The sequence below is a fragment of the Homo sapiens genome, chromosome 5 (assembly GCF_000001405.40).
Source record: "Homo sapiens chromosome 5, GRCh38.p14 Primary Assembly".
Lineage (NCBI taxonomy): Eukaryota > Metazoa > Chordata > Mammalia > Primates > Hominidae > Homo > Homo sapiens.
The window spans coordinates 53,642,860-53,669,447 of NC_000005.10; the positions used below are offsets into that span (position 1 = coordinate 53,642,860).

General features: G+C 36.3%; 1 protein-coding gene across 5 annotated transcripts in view; it reads left to right on the top strand.

Moving 5' to 3' along the window:
- NDUFS4 (NADH:ubiquinone oxidoreductase subunit S4) overlaps positions 1-26,588 on the top strand; it is a 122,700-nt gene that overhangs the window by 82,221 nt on the left and 13,891 nt on the right. For 4 of the 5 annotated variants that reach the window (NR_134475.2, NR_134473.2, NR_134474.2 and 1 more), the window contains 2 exons: positions 3,374-3,546; positions 15,692-15,765. Coding sequence is in view for 2 of the 5 variants with exons in the window: in NM_002495.4 (NP_002486.1) it covers positions 3,374-3,546; positions 15,692-15,765 (247 nt within the window). In the remaining 3 variants the exon portion in view is untranslated. The remainder of the gene's footprint in view (positions 1-3,373; positions 3,547-15,691; positions 15,766-26,588) is intronic. The other variant, NM_001318051.2, reaches the window with a different exon arrangement.

The window sequence follows — 26,588 nt, forward strand, 5'->3', positions numbered from 1 at the left end:
GAACTTTGGAATTATGACATGCATCTTTCCAATAGCAAATTTTGACTTGAATGCCCTTAATCTGTGAATTATCATTGACTTATTAGTTATCATTTATTAAAATAGCATATTGCACATAAGGTTGTATTTCTGAAACTTTATTAGGATAATGACATTAATAATGGAAGCATAGGTTTCATACTTGACCCAACTATTCAACAATTAAGTTTTAAAATTCAATAAATCTGTGTATATTACTTATAGAGTAGCTTGTTTTATTAGAATTTACAGATAATTATTAACTGGTGAGTCTTGAGGTTCTTCAGGTGCCAGCTTGAAGGCTTTTCATACCTATGTGATTTAGTTTTTTGAATTATTATTTATAAATTATTTATCTCTATTTTACCAGTAAAATAAGAAATTTGTAAAAGGCAATAGTGACATCTTTCTCCAAAGCATTTCTAGCTTTTCTAAATAGGTTTCAAAAACTCACAGGTGATCCATATTGCCATACAAAAGTAGAAATCCATAAAGAATACAATTAGTTCAATATAATTTAAATAGTTTGCGGATTTTAAATTTTTTTGTGAAAGTTAGATCTCAGGTAGCTCCGTGTGAATTTAGAGGGAACCACACAAAGCGTTGAAGACACAAGTAGAGTTCAGCATAGTGCCTCATAGTTCTTTTCAAGTGTTACATTGTTTTAATGGAATCTTGGAGTGGGAGCTTTAGCCCATTGAAATGTGCTTAAAGAACAGGTTCTTCTGTCACTAGCCGAAGCTGTGTGGATGAAATGATAACAATAGGGTGTCGTGATGCATTTTTAAAGTGTGAGAAATCAGGTTGTCTAGACTGAGAGTGTGCCTACAGGGACTAGGAATTTTAGAGCCTCTGTACCCTTTAGGTGTCAAGTATATGAGAGATGCCAAGCCTCTTTATTCTGTCTTTGGCAGCAGCTCAATTGGGCTGTAGTACCTTACATGTCTTCTGCATGCAAAAACTGATTCTGTGTCATGACAACTTGGGTTCCCAAAATCAGAAACCCACTTGTTCAAATGCCAACTTTAAATTAGGGTAAGATACCAATAAATAATTGCTGTAATTCGAGAAGACATGGAAGATTGGTAGTTATGAGTTCAAAATATAAATAGCTTAGCAACATTGTGTAGACACTTTTTAAAAAAGGTTTTCTATATACTGTCCTTTCTACTTTGTAGCTCAAATACTGTTTTATAGTATAAATCAAGAAATACTATTTCAATTTTTTTCAAAACTTGAAAAAGTTTAAAATCTTAAGTTTTTTAATCACTTTGGCATATATGCATCACAGTATAGAAGTAGGTAAAGTAAAAGTGTTTCCTCTAATCTTCCTGAGGTAACCAGTGTTAAGAGTTTAATGTGTTTCCTTTCATATAGTTTTAAAAATAGACATAACTTACAGCTCCAGCTTTTATGAGCTCAGCTCAGAACAGAGGGGATGCTTTGGAATTTGGAAAAGATGCCCCACCCCATAATTCTATAACATGCTTATAGTGTTTGTTTATACCCAGCTTAAGCTGTAGCTGAGGAAACGAGACAGATTAATCTAAAGATATATAATATTAAATAATAAACTACTATGGCAGATTGCAAGTATTACAGTGAATTCAAAGGAGGAATTAAACATTGAGGACTTCCCAGGAGTTGAGCCACTTTAAGCTCTTAAATAGAGAATATATGCTTCAGGAAGTCATTAAATATAATAATACTTAAACTTTTTTTGAAGTTGAACCTGAATATTAGAAATTACCAATTAAAGTATTTCACACCTTTAAAAATTATGTGCCAGCTTCACTCATTTTTACTTTAAACTAGATGTAGGGAAACTTTAAAAATAAGTAAATGTAGGCACATATTAGAAGTGCATATTTGTGTAAATATTTATATGGATAATTTTGATAGTTTCTGTAAACAAGCTGTGACAAAGTAGCCACACCTAATTATTGACGCAGGTGGAAAGGTATTGTGTTAAATAGAGGATTGGTTGCCAACTAAAATAACTTTAAAGAATTGGTTTTTAATCTTGTGGATAGAGATAATAGTCAAGTCAGAAATGTGTTTCGTGTTTTTCCCACTAGTACGTACTAGCTAAGAATACTTACCAGCTAAGTATTCTTGCCAGTTATTTGGTTCATAGCATTGATAGATTGAAACTACAAATAAACATTAGTCTTCATTAGGGTGTGTATTATAATGACATAAAAATTCACAGACGTTTTCTAGTTTTCACAAATTTGGTATAATCATTTTTATATTAACTCTTGTTTTTACCAAGTTATCCAAAATTTACGTTAGTAAGTGAACCATGATTTTAAAATGCTTCATTAATAAGCATATGGTTGACCCCAATGTGATTTACTTTGATCAGATAAAGTATTTTACCATTACTAAATGGAGATTTAACCCATTTATGTCTGAGGTTGCAGTTTTTAGAATTTTTGCAATCAGACCTTGGCAATGGCCTTGAGCAGTAGGATATAAATAACTCCCACATGCTTAGCATTCCAATAATGGAACACTAGGAATAAATAAGTTTTAAACTCTGAATTACTTTACTAATTTGTGTCCTGACTGCTACTATGTTTTGATAAATGTATCTACTCTGGGGCATCAAAATTCTGTGCATTTTCAAAATGAGCATTTGTTACTGGATAAAATTATAGAAAAATCGAGTTAAAGTTACCATTGTTTTCATCTCACATTTTGGCAAAAATTATGCCACTTTTTGGGATTACTTTTGCAGAATGTGTTTGATTGTATCATTCTCTCTTTAGTAGGTTTCACCAAAGGGGGGAGATACATCACAATGCTAATTAAAGTTGTTAAATTTACAACTTTACAAAAAGGTTCAGGTTTCCCTCTCAAGGTAATGCCTTGTGGGTAAGCAATTTGACACAGAAATTATAAGTAACAGATTGTCTTCTATTTAAGATTTAAATAAACATGCAAATAAGGATTTACTTTTTATATCCCCTTTTCATATTTCCTTTGTATTTTTTCTCCTCTGACTAGTTCGCACTTGCTCACAAAGTAAGAGCATTGTTGACTACAGGCTCTTCTGCGAGCAAACAGTCTCTTCAGAAAATACCAATGCTTTGTTGGACAAAAGGGCGTAAATTTTTTTTACGATCCTTTTCCACTGTCTCCACTACGTCCCCCTAAATAAACCATTTACAGGTATCTAAATAGTAATTTACATTGTAAAGTATCAGAATGGTAGTGAAATAAGCCAGAAAATTTATCTCAATTTATGAACAAATCTGAATAGAGTTGCATGAATATAGGAAACAACAAAAGTACATTAGTGTGTATGTAGGCTGTTTGAAACGTGTTTTTTTTTCTTGTTTTTCTGTAGGATATCACTACTTTAACTGGAGTTCCAGAAGAGCATATAAAAACTAGAAAAGTCAGGATCTTTGTTCCTGCTCGCAATAACATGCAGTCTGGAGTAAACAACACAAAGAAATGGAAGATGGAGTTTGATACCAGAGAGCGATGGGAAAATCCTTTGATGGGTTGGGCATCAACGTGAGTACTTTATTTTAATGTGAATATTGTCAGCTATCTTTTTCTATGTAGATCTTTCTTCTAAATATGATTTTCAAACTCTTTTATGTACAATATGCTTATGACAGTACTTTTTGACGCTGTTAAGTACCACTGTGCTCAAAGATACACATTATATATTTAGATATTCAGATAAGTGTGGCTTAGCACAGTAAACTATGACATAGTCTTTTTCAGAGTACTACTTACTAGATAAAAATGACTGAATTTCAGAGCACTGTTATGGAACTCAAAGCTATGTATACAGCAGTCCCCCCTTATCTGCAGTTTTGCTTTCTACGGTTTCAGTTATCCGATGGACAGTACAATAAGATATTTCGAGATAGAGAGAGACTACCCTTAATATAACTTTTCTTATAGTATGTAAGTGTTATAATTGTTCAATTTTATTACAACTTATTGTTAATTTCTTACTATGCCTAATTTATAAGTTAATCATAGGTCTATGTGTTTAGGAAAATATAGGATTTGATACTATTCGTGGTTTTAAGCATCCACTAGGGGTTTTGGAACTTGTCCCCCCTCAGATAAGGGGGAATACTGTTTTATCCAAGATACTGTAAGAATGGTGTTTATAATATAGTGACACTTTAACTTGTTTTAAAATTACAATAAACTTCTTTGTAATATATATTATATATATATCTTTTTTCTTTGTAAGGGGGGTAGGAACTAGGTCAATTTAGAAATTAGCTAACTTGAGGGAAACTTATAAGTTCCTGAGATATTGTGATTAATAATAAATAATAATAAATTACTTTTAATTTTTATTTATTATTTTCTTTAGAGATGTGGTCTTGCCCCCTTGCCCAGGCTGGAGTGCAGTGATGTGATCCTAGCTCACTGCAGCCCTGAACTCTGGGATGATCAAGCGGTCCTCCCACCTTAATCCCCCAAGTAGCTGGGAATATAGGTGCATGCCACAGCACCTGGCCAATTTTTTTTTATCTTTTTGTAGAAATGGAGTCTCGCTTTGTTGCCCGGGCTGGTCTCGAACTCCGGGCTTCAAGCGATCCACCCACCTCAGCCTCGAAAGTACTGAGATTACAGGTGTGAGCCACCATGCCTGGCCATTAAATTGCTTTTTAACAGTGTATTGGAATAAATTCTTGTGGTACTAATGAAGTCAGTGACCTAATTCTCCATAATGGAATAGGGCCCAAATGTTAAGTAGGAGGGCTGATTCTAGTTAAATTTAAAAAGCTGTCATTAGAGAAAACATTAGGCAGATAAGCTAGAAAATTGTCATTCGTATTGAAACTCTGAGAACATTATGTCCGGTCTCCAGTTGAAGGTAGTTATAAACTTAAATTAGAAAATGTAGACTGTCTTGTTCTAGAAAAGTATAATATTCAACATCATTGCCTGTTGATTACTTGGGAGACTTTTTTTAGAAAACATCTGTCATGTTGCAGTTTAAATAGAATTATATTTTATTAGGCAAATGATATATAGGCACAATTTCTTAGTTTTTTTCTTATGTTGCAGTTTAATTAATTTATTAAAATGAGAAAAAAGTCAAACAATACAAATTCAATTAGAACATCACAAAAATACAAATGTACTTCCACAGATCTACAAATTTGTTATAAGATTAGTTATAATTCAGTGTGTTATAAAATTAAGAGAACCAAAATGAAACACTTTGCTAAGAATATTCTGCTTTATCAAACCACCTAGGTAGAGTCTTGAGCACTCACTGGTAATAAAGCTGAGAAATAGATACTTACCCAACTTAGTCTTTGGAGTGAATCTGTATATGTGAGATGAGCCGCCATGTCATGGTTATAAGGAAGGGATGGAATCGGCTCATGTCCCTCAAAGCCCATAATTGTCATGTCTCCTGTAGTAGTAGTACAAGACCTGGCCTGGAAATTGTTAGAAAGGGGAACTACCAAACAGAAAACTGAATCTACCCAGTTTCTGGAAAACAACAGATGGAGGAACATTTGGCTTCCAAACTTTTTCATATGTAAGATAATTTTCCTAAGTAATCTTGCTCTAATGGGTTGTATATTCTCAGTACTTGTCAAGAAAACAGAAGTCTCCCATTAACTCTAGCTTCAAAGAATAAATACCAGGTCAGATTTCCCAATGCACCTTATTGTTTCAAGAGATTCCTGGTGGTGCCTGCATCTGTAAGAATGGTCATATACAGACAAAATCAGTGGTTCTCAACTGAGGGTGCTTTTGTATCCTTAAAACATTTGCCAGTGTGTGGAGACATTCCTGGTTGTAATAAGTGGTGGCTTCTGCTGACATCTAGTTAATAATGGCAATACTATGAGACACAGGACTGCCCTCCTTTGCAACCAAGAAAAAATTTTCTGGCCCCCCAAAAGTGGAAGATGCTGAGGATTAAAAGCCCCAGTATCAAGGAGAATACTTTGAGACCATTTTTTTTTCCTTACAAAAACACAATATCCCCACCAATGTGAGATGTTGGATCACATTTTTGTACAAGGGTGGTTGTGGTAGGTAGAATTCTAAGATGCCCCAGGATATCTGCTTCTTTGTTACAACTCTAATCATCCTCTTCCATAAGGTATGGCTACATCTGTGACTTGTTCTAGACAATTGATTATGGCAAAGGTGAGGGGATGCTCTCTGGCAATTACTTTTCCTTATATCAGAAACAATAGGAATCTATATTTTCTTTCTATCTTGTGTTTGTTTTCATAATAAAGTGATCTAGAGTATCCCCCTGTTCATGGAAATTTTGCCCTTTAGTCTAAGGCCCTTCATACATAATTGAATATTGTTCTTTTTTAAATTTTAGATCCAGGGTGTACATGTGCAGGTTTGTTACATGAATATATTGGGTGATGCTGGGGTTTGGGCTTCTAGTGAACTCATCACCCAAATTAAGTAAACACAGTGCCCAGCAGGCAGTTTTTCAACTCTTGCCCCCTTCTCCCTCTCCCCTCTATTGGAGTTCCCAGTGTTTATTGTTTCCATCTTTACGTCCATGTGTACCCATTGTTCAGCTTTCACAAATGAGAACATGCAGTCTTTGATTTTCTGTTTCTGCATTAATTCACTTAGGATGATGGCCTCCACCTTCATCCATGTTGCCACAGAGGACATGATTTGATTCTTTTTTATTGCTGCGTAGTATTCCATGATGTTTATGTACCACATTTCTTTATCCAATCCATTGTTGATGGACACTTAGGTTGATTCCTTGACTTTGCTATTGTGAATGGTTTCTTTTTGATAAAATGAGTTATTTTTCTTTGGGTAGATACCAAGTAGTGAGACTGCTAGGTCAAATGGTAGTTCTGTTTTTAGTTCTTTGAGAAATCTCCATACTGTATTCCATAGGGGTTGAATTGCTTTACATTCCCACCATTAGGGTATAAGCATTTCCTTTTCTCTGCATCCTTGCCAACAATAGCCATTCTGACTGGTATGAAATGGTATTTCATGGTAGTTTTGATTTGCATTTCTGTGATGATTAGTGCTGTTGAGCATTTTTCGTGTTCATTGGCCATTTGTATGTTTTCTTTTGAAGAGTAGGTGTTGTGTTATCCTTTTTATTTTATGTTTCATATAATATATAGAGTCATTTTGTAAACCACATGCTTCTAGAAGCTGAAGGAATTTATAAGGAAAAAATTTGTCCCGATCCAGTGATTGAAATGTTAATGATTACTGTTTTTCAATCACATGAGATTTTTACATGTTCATCTATTCCCCAGACTCACCGTAGTAATACATTCCCAGCAACATTCAGTAATAAATGATTATTTGAGTACTTGTGCCTTGTATACGCTAAATTGTTGATGAGTAAAATACTTTATATAAGAATATACATTTGAGTGGTATAGAGGAGAAAAAGTAATATCTTCCTCACATCTATTGCAAGGTTTGTGGCTGAGACATCTATAACAAAAGATAGTTTAACAAGAGACTAGCATACAATTTCATTTTGTGTAAGTTTTATGTGATACAGGAGACTTCAGAAATGAAGACCCAAAGAAACAGGGAAATCTGTGTATTTTTGGGCTTAGTTTTGATGAAGAGTGGACAGTCATACAGAAAGATGGTTGGACAAAGTTTATGATCTAATGATTATAAACTAGGAAGAACTTAGCCAGACCTGTTTGTTCAGATTCTTGTCTGTGTCTCTGTCTTCAGAAATAAGGACATTCCATTCCTTCTGTTATAGGGTAGACAGTTCTGGAATGAGGGTCTTAGGACTGACTTCAGAAGGTCAGATAATTCTGTTATGTCCTACTTCAGGGGAGAGTGTCAGAGAGACCTTCCTGCTTCTGCTGTTTTCTCAAATGCCAAGCTGCCATATTTTGGGGATAGTGTGTCCTGGAAGCGCATTAGTGGATTGTTTAAATAAATACAGTTTTACTTTGCTGTGCTTGCACAAAGGTTCACACAATCATTATTATAGTATTGCTTAGTCTGGAAATAGCATATTAAATGTTGAAATATGTAGTGATTTAATACTCTGATGCTTTAAGACAAAACTGTAACCTATTGTGCATAAATATGGAAATGCTGTTTTTATTACATATTGATTGAAAATGAGATATACTATATGTTTGGGAGGTAAAGTTCTTTTTCAAAACGTAGTTTTGCCGAAGTAAAAAGTTTTTTGAAGCAATAGACCTTGTCTGCAATTGGTTTATCTGAGACATTGTTTTGAATCTTGAATAATTTTAAAAAACATTCATTAATTCTTTTTGTTCTGGTGTTAACAACCAGTAGCATGAAAAAATATAAGAATAAAATTATTATTTAAAATATTTACTTATTTGATTTGATTAGAACAGAGAATTGCTACTCTTTTTTTAGCATTTTAATGACACAAAAATAGTATGTAATTTTACTGCTTGGACATATTGAATTCTGACTTCTCTTTGTGAAATATTTTAAATCTTTTTCTAAAATTGTTAGAATTGTAAGCTGAAGGTTTTTCATGATCATCTAATTAAATTTTATCACTTAACTAAGAAATAAACCTGTGTCCCAGATAAATTAATGAGTTGACCATAGTTTGGGTTCTCAGCCTGCTTATATTTTATTTTACAACTATATATAAAATACTAATATGTAGAATATTAAAAATATAAAATATTTAAAACCTGGCTAGATAAGTCCATATAGACTTGTATTTTTTTTAATCAGGAGAATTACTGTATTTAATGGAGCAAAGAGAATGTTAATATTTTAATGTGTTTTTTGCTGTGGGTCAAAGAATGATTTTAGGATGTGCTAAAAGAGAAATGACTATCCATCCTATACCTAGAATATATTTGTTTCCAAAGCCACAAGGTTTCCTAATTTAGGGGATCTTGGGCTTAACTTTATTCTTTTTTTTTTTTTTTTTGAGATGGAGTCTCACTCTGTCGCTCAGGCTGGAGTGCAGTGGGCGATCTCGGCTCACTGCAAGCTCCGCCTCCCGGGTTCATGCCATTCTTCTGCCTCAGCCTCCCAAGTACCTGGGACTACAGGCACCTGCACCACGCCCGGCTAATTTTTTTTGTATTTTTAGTAGAGATGGGGTTTCACCGTGTTAGCCAGGATGGTCTCGATCTCTTGACCTCGTGATCCGCCTGCCTAGGCCTCCCAAAGTGCTGGGATTACAGGCGTGGGCCACCGTGCCCGGCCAACTTTATTCATTTCTTCTGATAGATACTGTCTAGGTCTATCATATTGATGGAATGGCTTGGAGGGTTTAACAGACATCTAACCCTGCTGATGTAAGAGTATTACAGAGGGTTGGAAGTGTGCAGTATAAGAAATATGACAAATGTAACACCTGCAGAGATTATTTTTATATACCTTTGGAAGGGTTTTTTTTTTCTTTTTTTGCTATCTTGCTGTTAAATACACAGGAAAGGACATATTTCATTGAGCAGCAGAGGCAGTGCTAATGGAAAAGGTAATTTTACAAAGTTACAGTAATTTTTTAATTTTACAGTAATTTTACAGTAATTTCACAGTAATTTTGTGACAGAAATTTGAAATCTTAAATGTTTTCCCATATGTTTTCCTCAGTGGGGATTGAGGGGAAGGATCCTCATTGTGAAAATGGGCTTCATGACTGTAAACATGGTTTTATTTTTTAAAAATATAGTGAATACATTTCATTGTTATCTGCTTATCTACAGTATTTTTTGAAAGGCCACTTTGGTTCACATGTAGGATTTTAAGATAAATGTGTTTGATCTTTGTTTTTAGATTTCTAAATTCATATTTTAAAGTACTATATTTACATTTCTTTTCTCATCCAAAGTGGAGCTTTTCTTATGCTCTTTTAATTACCTGAGTCTTTAAATGTTAGAACTCAAAGGTAAAAGATTTATCTTTGTGTAAATATGAAAAATATCTTAAGGTGCAAAATTATCCTTTGGGTTTGACCCAAGTGTTTTTACTTTTTAAATCTCCTTGATCCTGTTTCAGGGAGACAGCATGACTTATCCTTGTTTAATATTGTAGCAAGTTGCCAAAGATAACTATTGGTTATTAATCTCTTTTTTTTTTTTACAATCTTTTATCTTTTAGGTTAGTAAATGCTTACTTTTCATTTATTTCTGTAAGCAGGACTTTAATTTTGATTAAACCTAAAAATGATTTATTTTTCCTCAGCTGTATTAATGTACATTGGTCATTGAAACTCAGTGATCATTGGACTCAGTACTTTTTGTGTTAATCACATTCTGAAAATGTGACTTCTGTGTTAAATTTTAAAAATGTTTTTTTTGTTAGAAAATTATGAATCTGTCATTCAGCTTCTGGAAACAAGGATTTGTTCCATGTCATTGTGGACATAGAAGGTCAAATAGTTTAAGCAGACATGTGCACAAACGTAGATGTTGCGAATTCTCTCATCACTTGATCCTCAAGCCTTAAGTCATCAAAGTGGACATCTTAGGTTGGCAGATAGTTCTTTTGATTATGAGTAAGTAGCAAACAGAAGCATTGCCTGTATCATCTTTCCCCTTTACACTGTTCTAACACATTGCCAAAGCACTTCTAAAATTTGCTTTAATCAGGTGGTTCAGTTTTTTTAATTGAATTTAAATAAGAATTCTGTCTACTTTTCATCTCATTACTGACTTTTGAACAAGTAAATGACTGTGCTTGCATTGTAGATTTAAACTATAGATACATGTTTCCATATATAACATATAAGCGAGGAATGTTACCAGTTACTCCTTTTCCTCCCCTGCTTACTACCCTCTCACCAGTATACCCGCCCTCCCTCCATAGAAGCCCCCACAACAATTTGGTATATATCCTTCCAGACTTTTTTCAGTGTATGTATATGCATATATTTAAGTTTATATGTCCTTTGGTGAAATGTCATGATTTTCTTAGTATAAGTTTTTCACATTTCTTATTAAAATTATGCCTAGATATTTTAGTTTTATCACTATTTCAGATGAAGTTTCTTCATTACATTTTCTAGTTGAGTATTGCTAATATTTAAAGTTGATTTTGCATATAAGCCACATTATGTACTGTCTCTTTAGTTGTCATGGTTTTTCAAGGGATTCACTTTGATTTTCTAGTTATATAATCTAACAATAGTGGCAGTTTGTTTTCTCCTTATAGCCAATTTCTCTTTCTTGCCTTGTTGCATTGGCTAGAATTTGCAAAGTTGAGTATCATTCATGATATTCAACATCCTTATTCCCTTTTTCTTCTTTAGCAGAAATGTTTCTGATATAATAAAATGGACAAAGTTCTTTTCTAATCTTGATCTACCAATAATTAAAAAAAATCAGGAATGGGTATTAAGTATTAATGTTTTTGTAACATCTGTTGAAGGGCATTTTCTGTAGTGAATTTCAGTTACCTATTTTCTGATCCAATTATATGTTTTATAATTGGATATGTATTTACTATTTTTAAGTAATATGTATTTGTTAATATGTATTTAACATTTTTGCATCCACCCAATCTGTGGAATTGGCCTGATGCAGGGTGGAGGGAGTGTGCACACATAACTTCTATAGCAGAATATAATTTTTTTTTGCTCAGCTATTTGGCATTTCTTACCTCAGAAATATTTTAAAATAACAAAAGTGTTTATTAAAATATTGGTTTTAATATTACATATTTTTTCTCTACGGTCTTCATTATGTATATCTCCTATTTGCAGAAAGATGACCACCTGATATTTCTGAATGGTGCTAATCAAACTAACAGCATTTAGAGCCACTTATAACTGCTACTGATACTTAAACTAAAAAATAAACAAATAAGCTAAGCTTCCCGAGAAGAAACTCATTCACTTGCCGTTCTGTGCCATTCAGAGGGCATCTAATTAAAATTCTCAGTGCCAAAATGTTTCACCAATACCTTTTATGCATGAATAGTTCTCTTAGGTAAATCAAGAGTCAGTTATAATGCTAATTTTTACATTGTATTGATACTTAGATCTGTTTTGAATAATATTAAATAGGCTTTGCTCATAAGCAGAAAATGATCATTGAAATTCACAAATGGTAAGTATCTTCACAAAGTCTGTTTTATGGTGTAGAACAAAAAGCAATCTGCCAACCAATGTTGGACATTATAATTATGAAACAATTTTTGATATTTTATTGGTTTACTGATGTTCATTAGTGTCTAGTAAAGTATATGAAAATGATATTGGAGGAAAAATATCTAAAATCAACCTTGGAAATGTGTACAACGTATTATTTTGCCAGGCTTAATATTGCTTTTTAAACTTTATTGAAATATACATTAAGAAAAGTATACAGATCAGAAGCATACAGCTTCATGAATTTTTACAACCGGAACACACATGCATGTGAGTAGTACCCAGATGGAGAAACAGCATTTCCAGTATCTCAGAAGTTCCCATTTCATCCCATGCTTTTTTCAGATTTCAGCCTTCCAGAGGTAACCACCGTTCTGACTTCTAACAACATAGATTAGTTTTGCCTATTTTTTTTTTTTTTTTTTTACTTAAAGAGAATCATCCTTTATGTGCTCTTTTGTGACTGGCTTTTTTGCTTAACTTTGTGAGATTCATCCATTCCATGCTATTTATTGATGGTTATTTGTGTAAATTTCTGTTTGGGTTTTTATGTATAATACAGTACTAAAATGAAGAATCTCGTATATATCTTTTAGTGGATATGTGGCTTTCTAATATGCTAATTAGTCCCTGAAATATTAGTCACTAGTTAATATTCAAACAATTAATATAGAGATAACAATAATCTATTAATTATCTGATCCCTTATGTTTCTCAAGTTAATGACAGTAGCAACTTGATAAGTTTTGTTCCAACAGACAGTTAAATTACTGATAGATCCACCTTGAACTTGTGGAGGATTATGCATCATTGGAGTGGATCTGTTTCAGTTTTAGCCTTAGTCTTGGAACCTAGTGTTAAAAAATAAAAAGGCACGGCCTTTCTGAAGTTTTGATGGAAAGCACAAGGTGTTTACCCACATTCTCCCTTCAGACTCAGTCTCCCCTGTAACAGGCAGCTGCTGAAATCTTTGCTCAATTCTTTCAGCCTTCCCAGCTTCATTTTGAAACCTTGCTGAATCATGTACAGTTCAAAAGCTCCCTGCTCTGTGGATACTCTCTTCCAGCTGCTCTGGCAATCCTGGACTCCGTCTCCAGGCTCCTTGCACTGAGATTACGGCTTTCTGCTTGAGTTCTCGATGCTCCTAGCTTGTCTAGACTAGAGAATACCTTATGGGAAACACCGTATAAAGTTGGATCTAAATCCAACTTTAGATTGGTTCCTTTTTTTTAAAGATTGAATTCTCTAGAAGTTTATTTTTTTTTTCTATTAGTCACTCTCTGGTCTCTGAAAATTATTTTTCTGTTTTGTCCAGAGTTTATAGTTAGGCAGATAAATCTGATATAATATTCTGCCATTACCCAAATTGGAACTTCAGTAATTGAGAAATGAGCAAATAAAGTCTAAAAATAAAAGAACAAATTATCTTTAGTGGACCAGGTTGAAAGAGAGATTGTATACAGTTGGAGGAGGGTAGGATATGAAAGACTTCATGGAATAGGTTGGTATTCAAAGTGAAGCATGAGGGATTATTTGGATGGACTTCCATGTGCAGAGAGTAGGAGAGCATTTCAAGAGGAAGGAACAAATTGAACTGATGGGAAAGTACACCTTGCATTTATAAAAACAATTAGCAACCTGATTTGACTAGTTGGTTACTTCTCAGGGGAGTAATTAAAAAGAAGGCTAGAAAGTAGTTCTGTCCATATTATAGAAGTGCTTAAATGCCAAGGTAGAAGACTGAAGTTAATGTGATAGACAGTGAAAACTGTTTGAAATTTTTGAACTGGGCAGAGAGTGAGTTTGGGATTTGAACTTTAGGAAGACATCTTGGTGAAGGGTGGATTGGAGTCAAGGAGGCAGAAAGATTAGTTAGGATGGGGTTATGGGAATAATGAAAAAGAGCTTAAACTGGTGGTGACAGCATACCTAAAAAAGAACTACAAAATACAGGAAATGAAGGAGAATGAGAAGGGTAGAAACTGAATGGCTGGAAGAATAGTGGCTTCTTCCAGTGGATGAATGTTGTTACTATTGGATATATTGGATATAAGTTGTTACTATTTGATTTCTATATGTATGTATTCATAAATAAAGTGAGGATAATAATAAAGGCTATACCATCTTTGCAGGAAACAGAGTTCTGATCTCCTGGCTTCTGTCTTGTTTCTTATTCTCAACTAAGCCAATGTGCCTGTCAACACTTATCAGATTACTGCATCATATTTATGTTGATACTTCTGTTCTCAGTATATATACTTTAACTATCAACTGGAAAATCGTGTGCGCTTTGAAAAGGAGGAACCAATATAAAATTATGATATTATTAGTACTAATATAGCCAGCCATATGAAGCTCTTTTGCTTACAAAGGGTAGGGGTGGGTTATGATAAGAATATATATAATTATAGGAATCTCAGAGTAGCAACCATGGTCTGTGACCAGAACATTGGCAGCAGTAATTAGTGGGTCTTCCCGTCAGTGAGAGGTACTCCCCATTTATTCTCTTCTTTCTATATCTCATATCTTTCCCCATCCAAATTACCTTTTGAATCCTCCTTTCTATATTTTTTACTTCCACATTTCTAAGCAATGTTTCATAGAATGCTATATTCACCTCTGAGAGATTCACAATAAACATTTGTAGCAAACAGTGTTCCACCTTGTTATAAGAATAAAAGTGGGGTGGGCACAGTGGCTCAAACCTGTAATACCAGCACTTTGGGAGGCTGAGGCAGGTAGATCACTTGAGGTCAGGAGTTCGAGACCAGCCTGGCCAACATAGTGAAACCCCATCTCTACTAAAAATACACAAATTAGCCAGGTATGGTGGTGCATACCTCTAATCCCAGCTACTTGGGAGGCTGAGGCACGAGAATTGCTTGAACCTGGGAGGCAGAGGTTGCAGTGAGCCCAGATCACGCCACTGTACTCCAGCCTGGGCGACAGAGTGAGAGTCCATCTCAAAAAAAAAAAAAAAAAAGAATAAAAGTGACATTTCTTGAAGTTGGATTTCCTAAAGAGCCTATGTAGATTTGTAAACATTAACACTGTCCTACATTGAAGAATTCAATTGGATGTCAGATCTTAGAGCTTTATTTTTTTATGCTTTAAAAGAATATTGTTAATGATGGAAGGTTTGTCAGGAGTGAGCGATCTTCAAAAAGGAGACTCAGAAGAAGTTAATTTAAAAAAAGAATGTGTATTGTTGCATTTTCTTGAGTAATGATAGGACTAGCAATTTTACACATCAGTAATCTTGATAGTAAATTTTAATTTCCATTTAAGAATCCTCTTGGGTTTTAAAATTCATCTCAAATTGTTTTTTTAGAGTGGAATAAAATTATTAAAGACTAACAATGCCTTTGCAATTATGAATTTTATTATTTGACAATACATATTAGAAAATCTCCCAAATTTAACACAGAAAAAGGTATTCCAACTAACAGTTTTAAAGAAATTATTACAAATAAAATATTCCATCAATAATGTACTTATTTGATTTTATAGTAGCTGTTTATTTTAAATATTGATTTTGTTTCTCAGCTAAAGCTTAATGTTAAATCTTGGAAAAAAATTTGTTTCTTACAGGGCTGATCCCTTATCCAACATGGTTCTAACCTTCAGTACTAAAGAAGATGCAGTTTCCTTTGCAGAAAAAAATGGTATGTTTGGTCTGTTTTTGACAAAGTCAAGATAATGATTTTATGTTCTTAACCTTAATTAAAACCAATTAAGTATACAGAATTTGAGTTGGAATCCAGTGGTTTCATTGTATCTAATCCAGTGGTTTCAGACTTTAACTACATCAGAACACCCACCTCCAAAAAAAAAAAAAAAAAAAACCTAAATTGGAATGCTCATACAACATGTAAAAGACAGACTGCTCTAATTTGAAGTACCAACAGGGAATGAAACTACTTAACGCCTACCTTGTGTATGAATTCCTCTGTAAAATTACTAACATTTTGTTGAACTTCAATTGAACATATATGGCAGCCTATTCTAGTTTTGACACCTCTGTTTACCGTTAAGTTCTTTCAGCCAAACGTAATGCCAAAATCTAGTCTATTAATCTATTTAATAACTCAATTATTTGAAAATATTGTCTTATTGCCTGTAAAATTTCCCTTCAGTCTAAATGCCCACATTTGCTACTTTTCTAGATATAGTGGGCCTAATACCAAGCCTAATCTCAACTGTATAATAATATTAATGTGGCCTAAGAGTATATTTGCTTTTGGGGCAGCCACCTAACATCATTGGGTTATGTTGATCTTGCTATCAACAAAAATGCAAAATGTCTTCCTTTTTCCTTATTTTCTGCTGTTAAGCCAACATAGTATAGTGAAAGGAAGTTTTGCAGTCAGACTAATATGGATTCTAATCTTGGTTATGCCACTTTGAAGCTATATGATTTTGGATTAATTTCATAATGGACTTAATGTTTCTCAGTTGAAATAAGGGTACCTACCTCATGAAGTGGGTGATAGCTGATACATAATAGATGTTCTGCTTGATACCTCATGAAGTGGGTGATAGCTGATACGTAATAGATACTACTTGATAACTATTAGTTCTGACCTTCACCTCCCTCCAGCCAGTATTTCTGCTGTTTGTCTTCCTTAGATTCAAATGCACTACTAAACATTTGTACCTAATGTATCCTGTTATTCTAGTTTCTCAAATTGAATTTGTCTCTTTAAGTGCATTGTTACTGTAAGGCAGTATATAAAAATAAGAAATTAGTGTTCTCTAACATTACCTGAAATACAAATGTGAAAGCACTATAAAGGTTATAATCTAACATATTTGCTTTTCTTTTTCACCTAGTATTGTATAGCTTATGATTAAAAGTCTGAAGTCAACCTATCTGCCTTTGAATCTGTATGTCACTACCTGTATGACTTTATACTTCTATTTCCTCATACGTGCAATGAGAATTGCTGTGGTGATTAAATGAGTTAATAAAAGTGTTTAGAGACTAGGGTCTGACAAATACTATATGATAGTATATAAGTATACCCTATTCTGTTATTAATAGACTTTTTTTTTATTTAAGTTTTAGGGTACATGTGCACAACATGCAGGTTTGCTACACATGTATACATGTATACATGTGCCATGTTGGTGTGCTGCACCGATTAACTCTTCATTTAACATTAGGTATATCTCCTAATGCTGTCCCTCCCCCCACCCCACAACAGGTCCCGGAGTGTGATGTTCCCCTTCCTGTGTCCGTGTGTTCTCATTGTTCAATTCCCCACCTATGAGTGAGAACATGCGGTGTTTGCTTTTTTTGTCCTTGCGATAGTTTGCTGAGAATGATGGTTTCCAGCTTCATCCATGTCCCTACAAAGGACATGAACTCATCCTTTTTTATGGCTGCATAGTATTCCATGGTGTATATGTGCCACATTTGCTTAATCCAGTCTATCATTGTTGGACATTTGGCTTGATTCCAAGTCTTTGCTATTGTGAATAGTGCCGCAGTAAACATATGTGTGCATGTGTCTTTACAGCAGCATGATTTATAATCCTTTGGGTATATACCCAGTAATGGGATTGCTGGGTCAAATGGTATTTCTAGTACTAGATGCCTGAGGAATTGCCACACTGACTTCCACAATGGTTGAACTAGTTTGCAGTCCCACCGACAGTGTAAAAGTGTTCCTTTTTCTCCACATCCTCTCCAGCACCTGTTGTTTCCTGACTTTTTAATGATCGCCGTTCTAACTGGTGTGAGATAGTATCTCATTGTGGTTTTAATTTGCATTTCTCTGATGGCCAGTGATGATGGGCATTTTTTCATGTGTCTTTTGGCTGCATAAATGTCTTCTTTTGAGAAGTGTCTGTTCATATCCTTCGCCCACTTGTTGATGAGGTTCTTTGTTTTTTTCTTGTAAATTTGTTTGAGTTCATTGTAGATTCTGGATATTAGCCCTTTGTCAGATGACCAGATTGCAAAAATTTTCTCCCATTCTGTAGGTTGCCTGTTCACTCTGATGGTAGTTTATTTTGCTGTGCAGAAACTCTTTAGTTTGATTAGATCCCATTTGTCAATTCTGGCTTTTGTTGCCATTGCTTTTGGTGTTTTAGACATGAAGTCCTTGCCCATGCCTATGTCCTGAATGGTATTGCCTAGGTTTTCTTCTAGGGTTTTTATGGTTTTAGGTCTAACATTTAAGTCTTTAATCTATCTTGAATTAATTTTTGTATAAGGTGTAAGGAAGGGATCCAGTTTCAGCTTTCTACATATGGCTAGCCAGTTTTCCCAGCACCATTTCTTAAATAGGGAATCCTTTCCCCATTGCTTGTTTTTGTCAGGTTTGTCAAAGATCAGATACTTGTAGATATGCGGCATTATTTCTGAGGGCTCTGTTCTGTTCCATTGGTGTATATCTCTGTTTTGGTACCAGTACCATGCTATTTTGGTTACTGTAGCCTTGTAGTATAGTTTGAAGTCAGGTAGCTTGATGCCTCCAGCTTTGTTCTTTTGGCTTAGGATTGACTTGGCAATGCGGGCTCTTTTTTGGTTCCATATGAAGTTTAAAGTAGTTTTTTCCAATTCTTTGAAGAAAGTCATTGGTAGCTTGATGGGAATGGCATTGAATCTATAAGTTACCTTGGGCAGTATGGCCATTTTCACGATATTGATTCTTCCTACCCATGAGCATGGAATGTTCTTCCATTTGTTTGTATCCGCTTTTATTTCATTGAGCAGTGGTTTGTAGTTCTCCTTGAAGAGGTCCTTCACGAAGTCCCGTGTAAGTTGGATTCCTAGGTATTTTATTCTCTTTGAAGCAATTGTGAATGGGAGTTCACTCATGATTTGGCTGTCTGTTAGTGGTGTATAAGAATGCTTGTGGTTTTTGCACATGGATTTTATATCCTGAGACTTTGCTGAAGTTGCCTATGAGCTTAAGGCGATTTTGGGCTGAGACGATGGGGTTTTCTAGATATACAACCATGTCATCTGCAAACAGGGACAATTTGACTTCCTCTTTTCCTAATTGAATACCCTTTATTTCCTTCTCCTGCCTGATTGCCCTGGCCAGAACTTCCAACACTATGTTGAATAGGAGTGGTGAGAGAGGGCATCCCTGTCTTGTGCCAGTTTTCAAAGGGAATGTTTCCAGTTCTTGCCCATTCAGTATGATATTGGCTGTGGGTTTGTCATAGATAGCTCTTATTATTTTGAGATAAGTCACATCAATACCTAATTTATTGAGAGTTTTTAGCATGAAGTGTTGTTGAATTTTGTCAAAGGCCTTTTCTGCATCTATTCAGATAATCATGTGGTTTTTGTCTTTGGTTCTGTTTATATGCTGGATTACGTTTATTTTGTGTATGTTGAACCAGCCTTGCATCCCAGGGATGAAGCCCACTTGATGATGGTGGATAAGCTTTTTGATGTGCTGCTGGATTCGGTTTGCCAGTATTTTATTGAGGATTTTTGCATCGATGTTCATCAGGGATATTGGTCTAAAAATCTCTTTTTTTTGTTGTGTCTCTGCCAGGCTTTGGTATCAGGATGATGCTGGCCTCATAAAATGAGTTAGGGAGGATTCCTTCTTTTTCTATTGATTGGAATAGTTTCAGAAGGAATGGTACCAGCTCCTCCTTGTACCTCTGGTAGAATTCGGCTGTGAATCCATCTGGTCCTGGACTTTTTTTGGTTGGTAATCTATTAATTATTGCCTCAATTTCAGAGCCTGTTATTGGTCTATTTAGAGATTCAGCTTCTTCCTGGTTTAGCCTTGGGAGGGTGTATATGTCCAGGAATTTATCCATTTCTTCTAGATTTTCTAATTTATTTGCATAGAGGTGCTTATAGTATATTCTCTGGTGGTAACTAAGATCAGTTCTGCCCTGATCTTAGTTATTTCTTGCCTTCTGCTAGCTTTTTGAATGTGTTTCCTCTTGCTTCTGTAGTTCTTTTAATTGTGATGTTAGGGTGTCAATTTTAGATCTTTCCTGCTTTCTCTTGTGGGCATTTAGTGCTATAAATTTCCCTCTACACACTGCTTTGAATGTGTCCCAGAGATTCTGGTATGTTGTGTCTTTGTTCTCGTTGGTTTCAAAGAACATCTTTATTTCTGCCTTCATTTCATTATGTACCCAGTAGTCATTCAGGAGCAGGTTGTTCAGTTTCCATGTAGTTGAGCGGTTTTGGTGAGTTTCTTAATCCTGAGTTCTAGTTTGATTGCACTGTGGTCTTAGAGACAGTTTGTTATAATTTGTTATAATTTCTGTTCTTTTACATTTGCTGAGGTGTGCTTTACTTCCAACTGTGTGGTCAATTTTGGAACAGGTGTGGTGTGGTGTTGAAAAAAATGTATATTCTGTTGATTTGGGGTGGAGAGTTCTATAGATGTCTATTAGGTTTGCTTGGTGCAGAGCTGAGTTCAATTCCTGGGTATCCTTGTTAACTTCCTGTCTCATTGATCTGTCTAATGTTGACAGTGGGGTGTTAAAGTCTCCCATTGTTATTGCGTGGGAGTCTTAAGTCTCTTTGTAGGTCACTCAGGACTTGCTTTATGAATCTGGGTGCTCCTGTATTGGGTGCATATATATTTAGGATAGTTAGCTCTTCTCAGTGAATTGATCCCTTTACCATTATGTAATGGCCTTCTTTGTCTCTTTTGATCTTTGCTGGTTTAAAGTCTGTTTTATCAGAGACTAGGATTGCAACCCTTGCCTTTTTTTGTTTTCCATTTGCTTGGTAGATCTTCCTCCATCCCTTTATTTTGAGCCTATGTGTGTCTCTGCTCATGAGATGGGTTTCCTGAATACAGGACACTGATGGGTCCTGACTCTGTATCCAGTTTGCCAGTCTGTATCTTTTAATTGGAGCATTTAGCCCATTTACCTTTAAGGTTAATATTGTTATGTGTGAATTTGACCCTCTCATTATGATGTCAGCTGGTTATTTTGCTCATTAGTTGATGCAGTTTCTTCTTAGCCTCGATGGTCTTTACAATTTATCATGTGTTTGCAGTGGCTGGTACTTGTTGTTCCTTTCCATGTGTAGTGCTTCCTTCAAGAGCTCTTTTAGGGCAGGCCTGGTGGTTGCAAAATCTCTTTGCATTTGCTTGTCTGTAAAGGATTTTATTTCTCCTTCACTTATGAAGCTTAGTTTGGCTGGATATGAAATTCTGGGTTGAAAATTCTTTTCTTTAAGAATGTTGAATATTGGCCCCCACTCTTCTGGCTTGTAGAGCTTTTGCCAAGAGATCAGCTGTTAGTCTGATGGGCTTCCCTTTGTGGGTAACCCGACCTTTCTCTCTTGCTGCCGTTAACATCTTTTCCTTCATTTCAACTTTGGTGAATCTGACAATTATGTGTCTTGGAGTTGCTCTTCTTGAGGAGTATCTTTGTGGCGTTCTCTGTATTTCCTGCATTTGAATATTGGCCTGCTTTGCTAGATTGGGGAAGTTCTCCTGGATAATATCCTGCAGAGTGTTTTCCAACTTGGTTCCATTCTCCCCGTCACTTTCAGGTACACCAATCAGACGTAGATTTGGTCTTTTCATATAGTCCCGTATTTGTTGGAGGCTTTGTTCGTTTCTTTTTATTCTTTTTTCTCTAAACTTCTCTTCTTGCTTCATTTCATTCATTTGATCTTGCCTCACTGATACCCTTTCTTCCAGTTGATCAAATCGGCTACTGAGGCTTGTGTATTTGTCACGTAGTTCTTGTTCCGTGGTTTTCAGCTCCATCAGGTCCTTTAAGGACTTCTCTGCATTGGTTATTCTAGTTAGCCATTTGTCTAATTTTTTTTCAAGGTTTTTAACTTCTTTGCCATGGTTTCAAACTTCCTCCTTTAGCTCGGAGTAGTTTGATCGTCTGAAGCCTTCTGTCAACTCGTCAAAGTCATTCTCCATCCAGCTTTGTTCCATTGCTGGTGCAGAGCTGCATTCCTTTGGAGGAGGAGAAGTGCTCTGATTTTTAGAGTTTCCAGTATTTCTGCTCTGTTTTTTCCCCATCTTTGTGGTTTTATCTACCTTTGGTCTTTGATGATGGTGACATACAGATGGGGTTTTGGTGTGGATGTCCTTTCTGTTTGTTAGTTTTCCTTCTAACAGTCAGGACCCTCAGCTGCAGGTCTGTTGGAGTTTGCTGGAGGTCCACTCCAGACCCTATTTGCCTGGGTATCAGCAGCGGAGGCTGCAGAACCGCGGATATTGGTGAACAGCAAATGTTGCTGCCTGATTGTTCCTCTGGAAGCTTTGTCTCAGAGGAGTACCTGGCCGTGTGAGGTGTCAGTCTGACCCTACTGGGGGGTGCCTCCCAGTTAGGCTACTCAGGGGTCAGGGACCCACTTGAGGAGGCAGTCTGTCCGTTCTCAGATCTCCAGCTGCCTGCTAGGAGAACCACTACTCTTCAAAGCTGTCAGACAGGGACATTTAAGTCTGCAGAGGTTTCTGTTGCCTTTTGTTTGGCTATGCCCTACCCCCAGAGGTGGAGTCTACAGAGGCAGGCAGGCCTTCTTGAGCTGCGCTGGGCTCCACCCAGTTCGAGCTTCCTGGCTGCTTTGTTTACCTAGTCAAGCCTTGGCAATGGCGGACGCCCCTCCCACAGCCTCGCTGATGCCTTGCAGTTTGATCTCAGACTCCTGTGCTAACAATGAGCGAGGCTTTGTGGGCATAGGACCCTCCGAGCCAGGTGCGGGATATAATCTCCTGGTGTGCCGTTTGCTAAGACCGTTGGAAAAGCACAGTATTAGGGTGGGAGTGACCCGATTTTCCAGGTGCCATCTGTCACCCCTTTCTTTGACTAGGAAAGGGAATTCCCTGACCCCTTGCGCTTCCTGGGTGAGGCGATGCCTCGCCCTGCTTGGGCTCACACTCGGTGTGCTCCACCCACTGTCCTGCACACACTGTCTGATGCTCCCCAGTGAGATGAACCCGGTACCTCAGTTGGAAATGCAGAAATCACCCGTCTTCTGCGTCGCTTACGCTGGGAGCTGTAGACTGGAGCTGTTCCTATTCCACCATCTTGGCTCCACCTTAACTCTTAATAGACCTTTAAAAACTTTTTAAAAAGAGGTTCTTAAGTGCAATTCCTTACTTATACTTTCTTGGCAAGTTCCAAATTTCTTAATTACATAATTGTTTTCAAAAGTGGTCTTTTAAAATACTATTTTGACTTAAAATAACATTACTCTCTTTGTGAACTGTAACATAGTTATGAAAAACAGTTCCATTAATTTTTTTATCTTTTCAGCCTATTATATTTCATGTCTGACACTTTGAAAATTATTCATTTGAAGTCTGTCACATGAGTTTAATAACAGGAAATCTAATTAAATATTTAAATCCCTGGTTAGTCTTTCTCTAAGTGGTCACAAGGACTGCATGACTACAGTTGCCATGTGAATTGCCAGTGTGAGCTCACCACTGTTCCTATTAAAATCAAGTGCCTTTCTATCTGACTTCTACCTCCCCGGGAAAGAAAACTGAGGAACACTATCAAAGTCTATAGAAAGTGTAACTTTAAAAAGCCTTGTGGTTAGTGACATAAAGTTGTAGGCTAACAGTGAATCAGGAATTTTAACCTTTAAGATAGCAGAACTATGTCCTATCTTGGTCACTGCTATGTGCCTAGCACCTAGCACCTAGCACAAAACCTGACATATAATGGACACTCAGTATCTGGTGGAATAAATGACTTTCTAAAATATATTTCTCTGACTGGGCACAGTGGCTCATGCCTGTAATCCCAGTGCTTTGGGAGGTTGAGGTGGGTGGATCACTTGAGGTCAGGAGTTGGAGACCAGCCTGGCCAACAGCAAAACCCTGGTTCTACTAAAAATACACAAATTAGCTGGATGTGGTGGTGCGCACCTGTAGTCCTGGCTACTCAAGAGGCTGAGACAGGAGAATCGCTTGAACTCACAAGGTGGAGGTTGCAGTGAGCTGAGATCATACCACTACACTCCAGCCTGGGTGACAGGGTGAGACTCAGTCTCAAAAAATAATAAATAAATAAATAGAAAGAAACATATTTCTTTACTCAAGAATTTGAAACCATTCTCCTCTCCTGGGAAAGTCCTTAATGATTATTCCACTCTTGATTTCGGTATAGTACTTATGATCTGCCTTATTTATTTAACATGTAGCATTCTATGTCCTTAAATAGATAAATCCTGTTTCTTCAGCTACAGTGGAAGGAAGATCTAAATAAACACCATTGAAGCATTACAGAAGTGGAGGTGGGGAGGCCAGGCGCGGTGGCTCACGCCTGTAATCCCAGCACTTTGGGAGGCTGAGGTGGGCGGATCACCTGAGGTCAGGAGTTTGAGATCAGCCTGACCAACATGGAGAACCCTCGTCTCTACTAAAAATACAAAATTAGCCGGGCATGGTGGCACATGCCTGTAATCCCAGCTACTCAGGAGGCTGAGGCAGGAGAATCGCTTGAACCCGGGAGGCAGAGGTTGCAGTGAGCTGAGATCGTGCCATTGCACTCCAGCCTGGGCAACAAGCTCCAGCCTGGGCAATAAGAGCAAAAACTCTGTCTCCAAAAAAAAAAAAAAAAAGGTGGAGGTGGGGGATCTTTTCCAAATTCCACAGCATCCTCTTCCTTCTGACTTGCCCCTCTTGGGTAGGTAAATAGTAGTGAAGGACATGCAAATGGATCCTCCCTATCCCCACAACTAAAATCATTTGTTGTCAGCTAGTGCTATTGAAGGTTGAGTGAACCGATGTTCTGATAAGTTAAGGCATTTAAAAAAAAAAGGTTCAGATGCACTAATATGTAAAGACTACTGGATTAAGAGGCTGGTAACTAAGACTCTCATTCCACAGTGGTCTACATCACAGGAGAACTTGAACAAGTCATGCTTCACTACACTTAGCCTTTTAGAAGCATATTTCTTCATCTTTGAAATGAGAAGTTGGATTGGGTGATGTCCAAAAACTATAGACTTAAGGATGTTAAAGCCCATGGGCTAGTTCGTCTTTATTTCTTTGCTATCTAGCCCAGTGCCTTACTCATATGCTGTATAGGGGGAAATGAGTTTTTGTTAATACAGCTGATTCTGTGTTAATAGTAAAATATGACAAAGGTTATACGTTTATGGGCATTAATGCTTGCCTTTCAGTAGTATCTAGAAATAGGAAGTTAGGGTAAAACTGCCACATACCTACACAAAAGATGATTTATGTATCACTTATCAAATTGTATTTTATATTAATGCAGCCTAAAAGTATATTAGCTTTTGACAGTTATTTGATTTGTATATCAATTATCAAATACAATTTGTTATCAATTGTATTTGAGATACAGTTGATTATTTGTATATCAATTCAGGGACTATTCTGAAGATAAAAGCCTACCTGTTATCTCCTTAGTTTTTTCATTTCCCTTTTAAATGTCAAATAAAAAGAGAAGTCATGAGCATGGTTTCCCTTGACACTAAAGATTGTAGAAAATCAATACATCAAGGGGAGTAAGATTTTCAGATTCAGTTGCTTTCTGGAAAACCTTTTTTTTGGAGGGGTTCGGGGCTGGAGACAGAGTCTCACTCTGTCACCCAGGCTGGAGTGCAATGGCATGATCTTGGCTCACTGCAACCTCCACCTCCCAGGTTCAAGCGATTCTCCTGCCTCAGCTTCCTGGACTACAGGCATGCACCACCATGTCCAGCTAATTTTTTTTTTTTTTTTTTTTTTAAAGTAGAGACAGGGTTTTACCATGTTGGCCAGGCTGGCCTCGAACTCCTGACCTCAGGTGATCCACCTGCCTTGGCCTCCCAAAGTGCTGCAATTACAGGTGTAAGCCACTGCACCCAGCCTTACAAAACATATTTAATGCCCTCTAATTATATTTTGAGACTTGGGTAATAAGTATTGTCACCACAGAAAGTAACAAACACTAAATCATGAGCCAGGCACTATGCTAAGTGCTTTTCATTCTCATTTAGTAACTCTGTGAAGCAGGAACAGTTATCTCCATTTAATTGTTCAAGGCAACTGAGGTTTAGAGACATTATGTCACATTAAGTAACAGGGACACATACAAGGAGGTGAACAAGTTTTATTTGAACAGTCATGTTTATTCATTTATATATAGTCTATGACTGCTTTTTGGCTACAGTGGTAGAAAAGTAGTTGTAATAGAGACTATATGGCCCCAGAGCCTAAAAATAATTACTACTTGGCCCTTTACAGAAAATTTTAGGTGACCTCTAGTCTAAACTGTTACGTATACTGCCTCAATACTATGACATTTGTGTAAGTCCCAAAATACCCTTTATTCAAACATCTTCAAGAGTCTGTGTTTAATAGACAAATTCCTCAACTGATAATTCAAAGTTCTTCACAATATAGGCACAAACTTACTACCAAAGCACTAACAAGTTTTGTCTGTGTTCCAACTCTTACTTTCTGCCCTTACATTCCAAACCTACTACACCTTCCTCCCTCTACAACCTCGTTAATACTGTTCTCATTCTTATCCCTGCCTATGAAACTCTAACCTA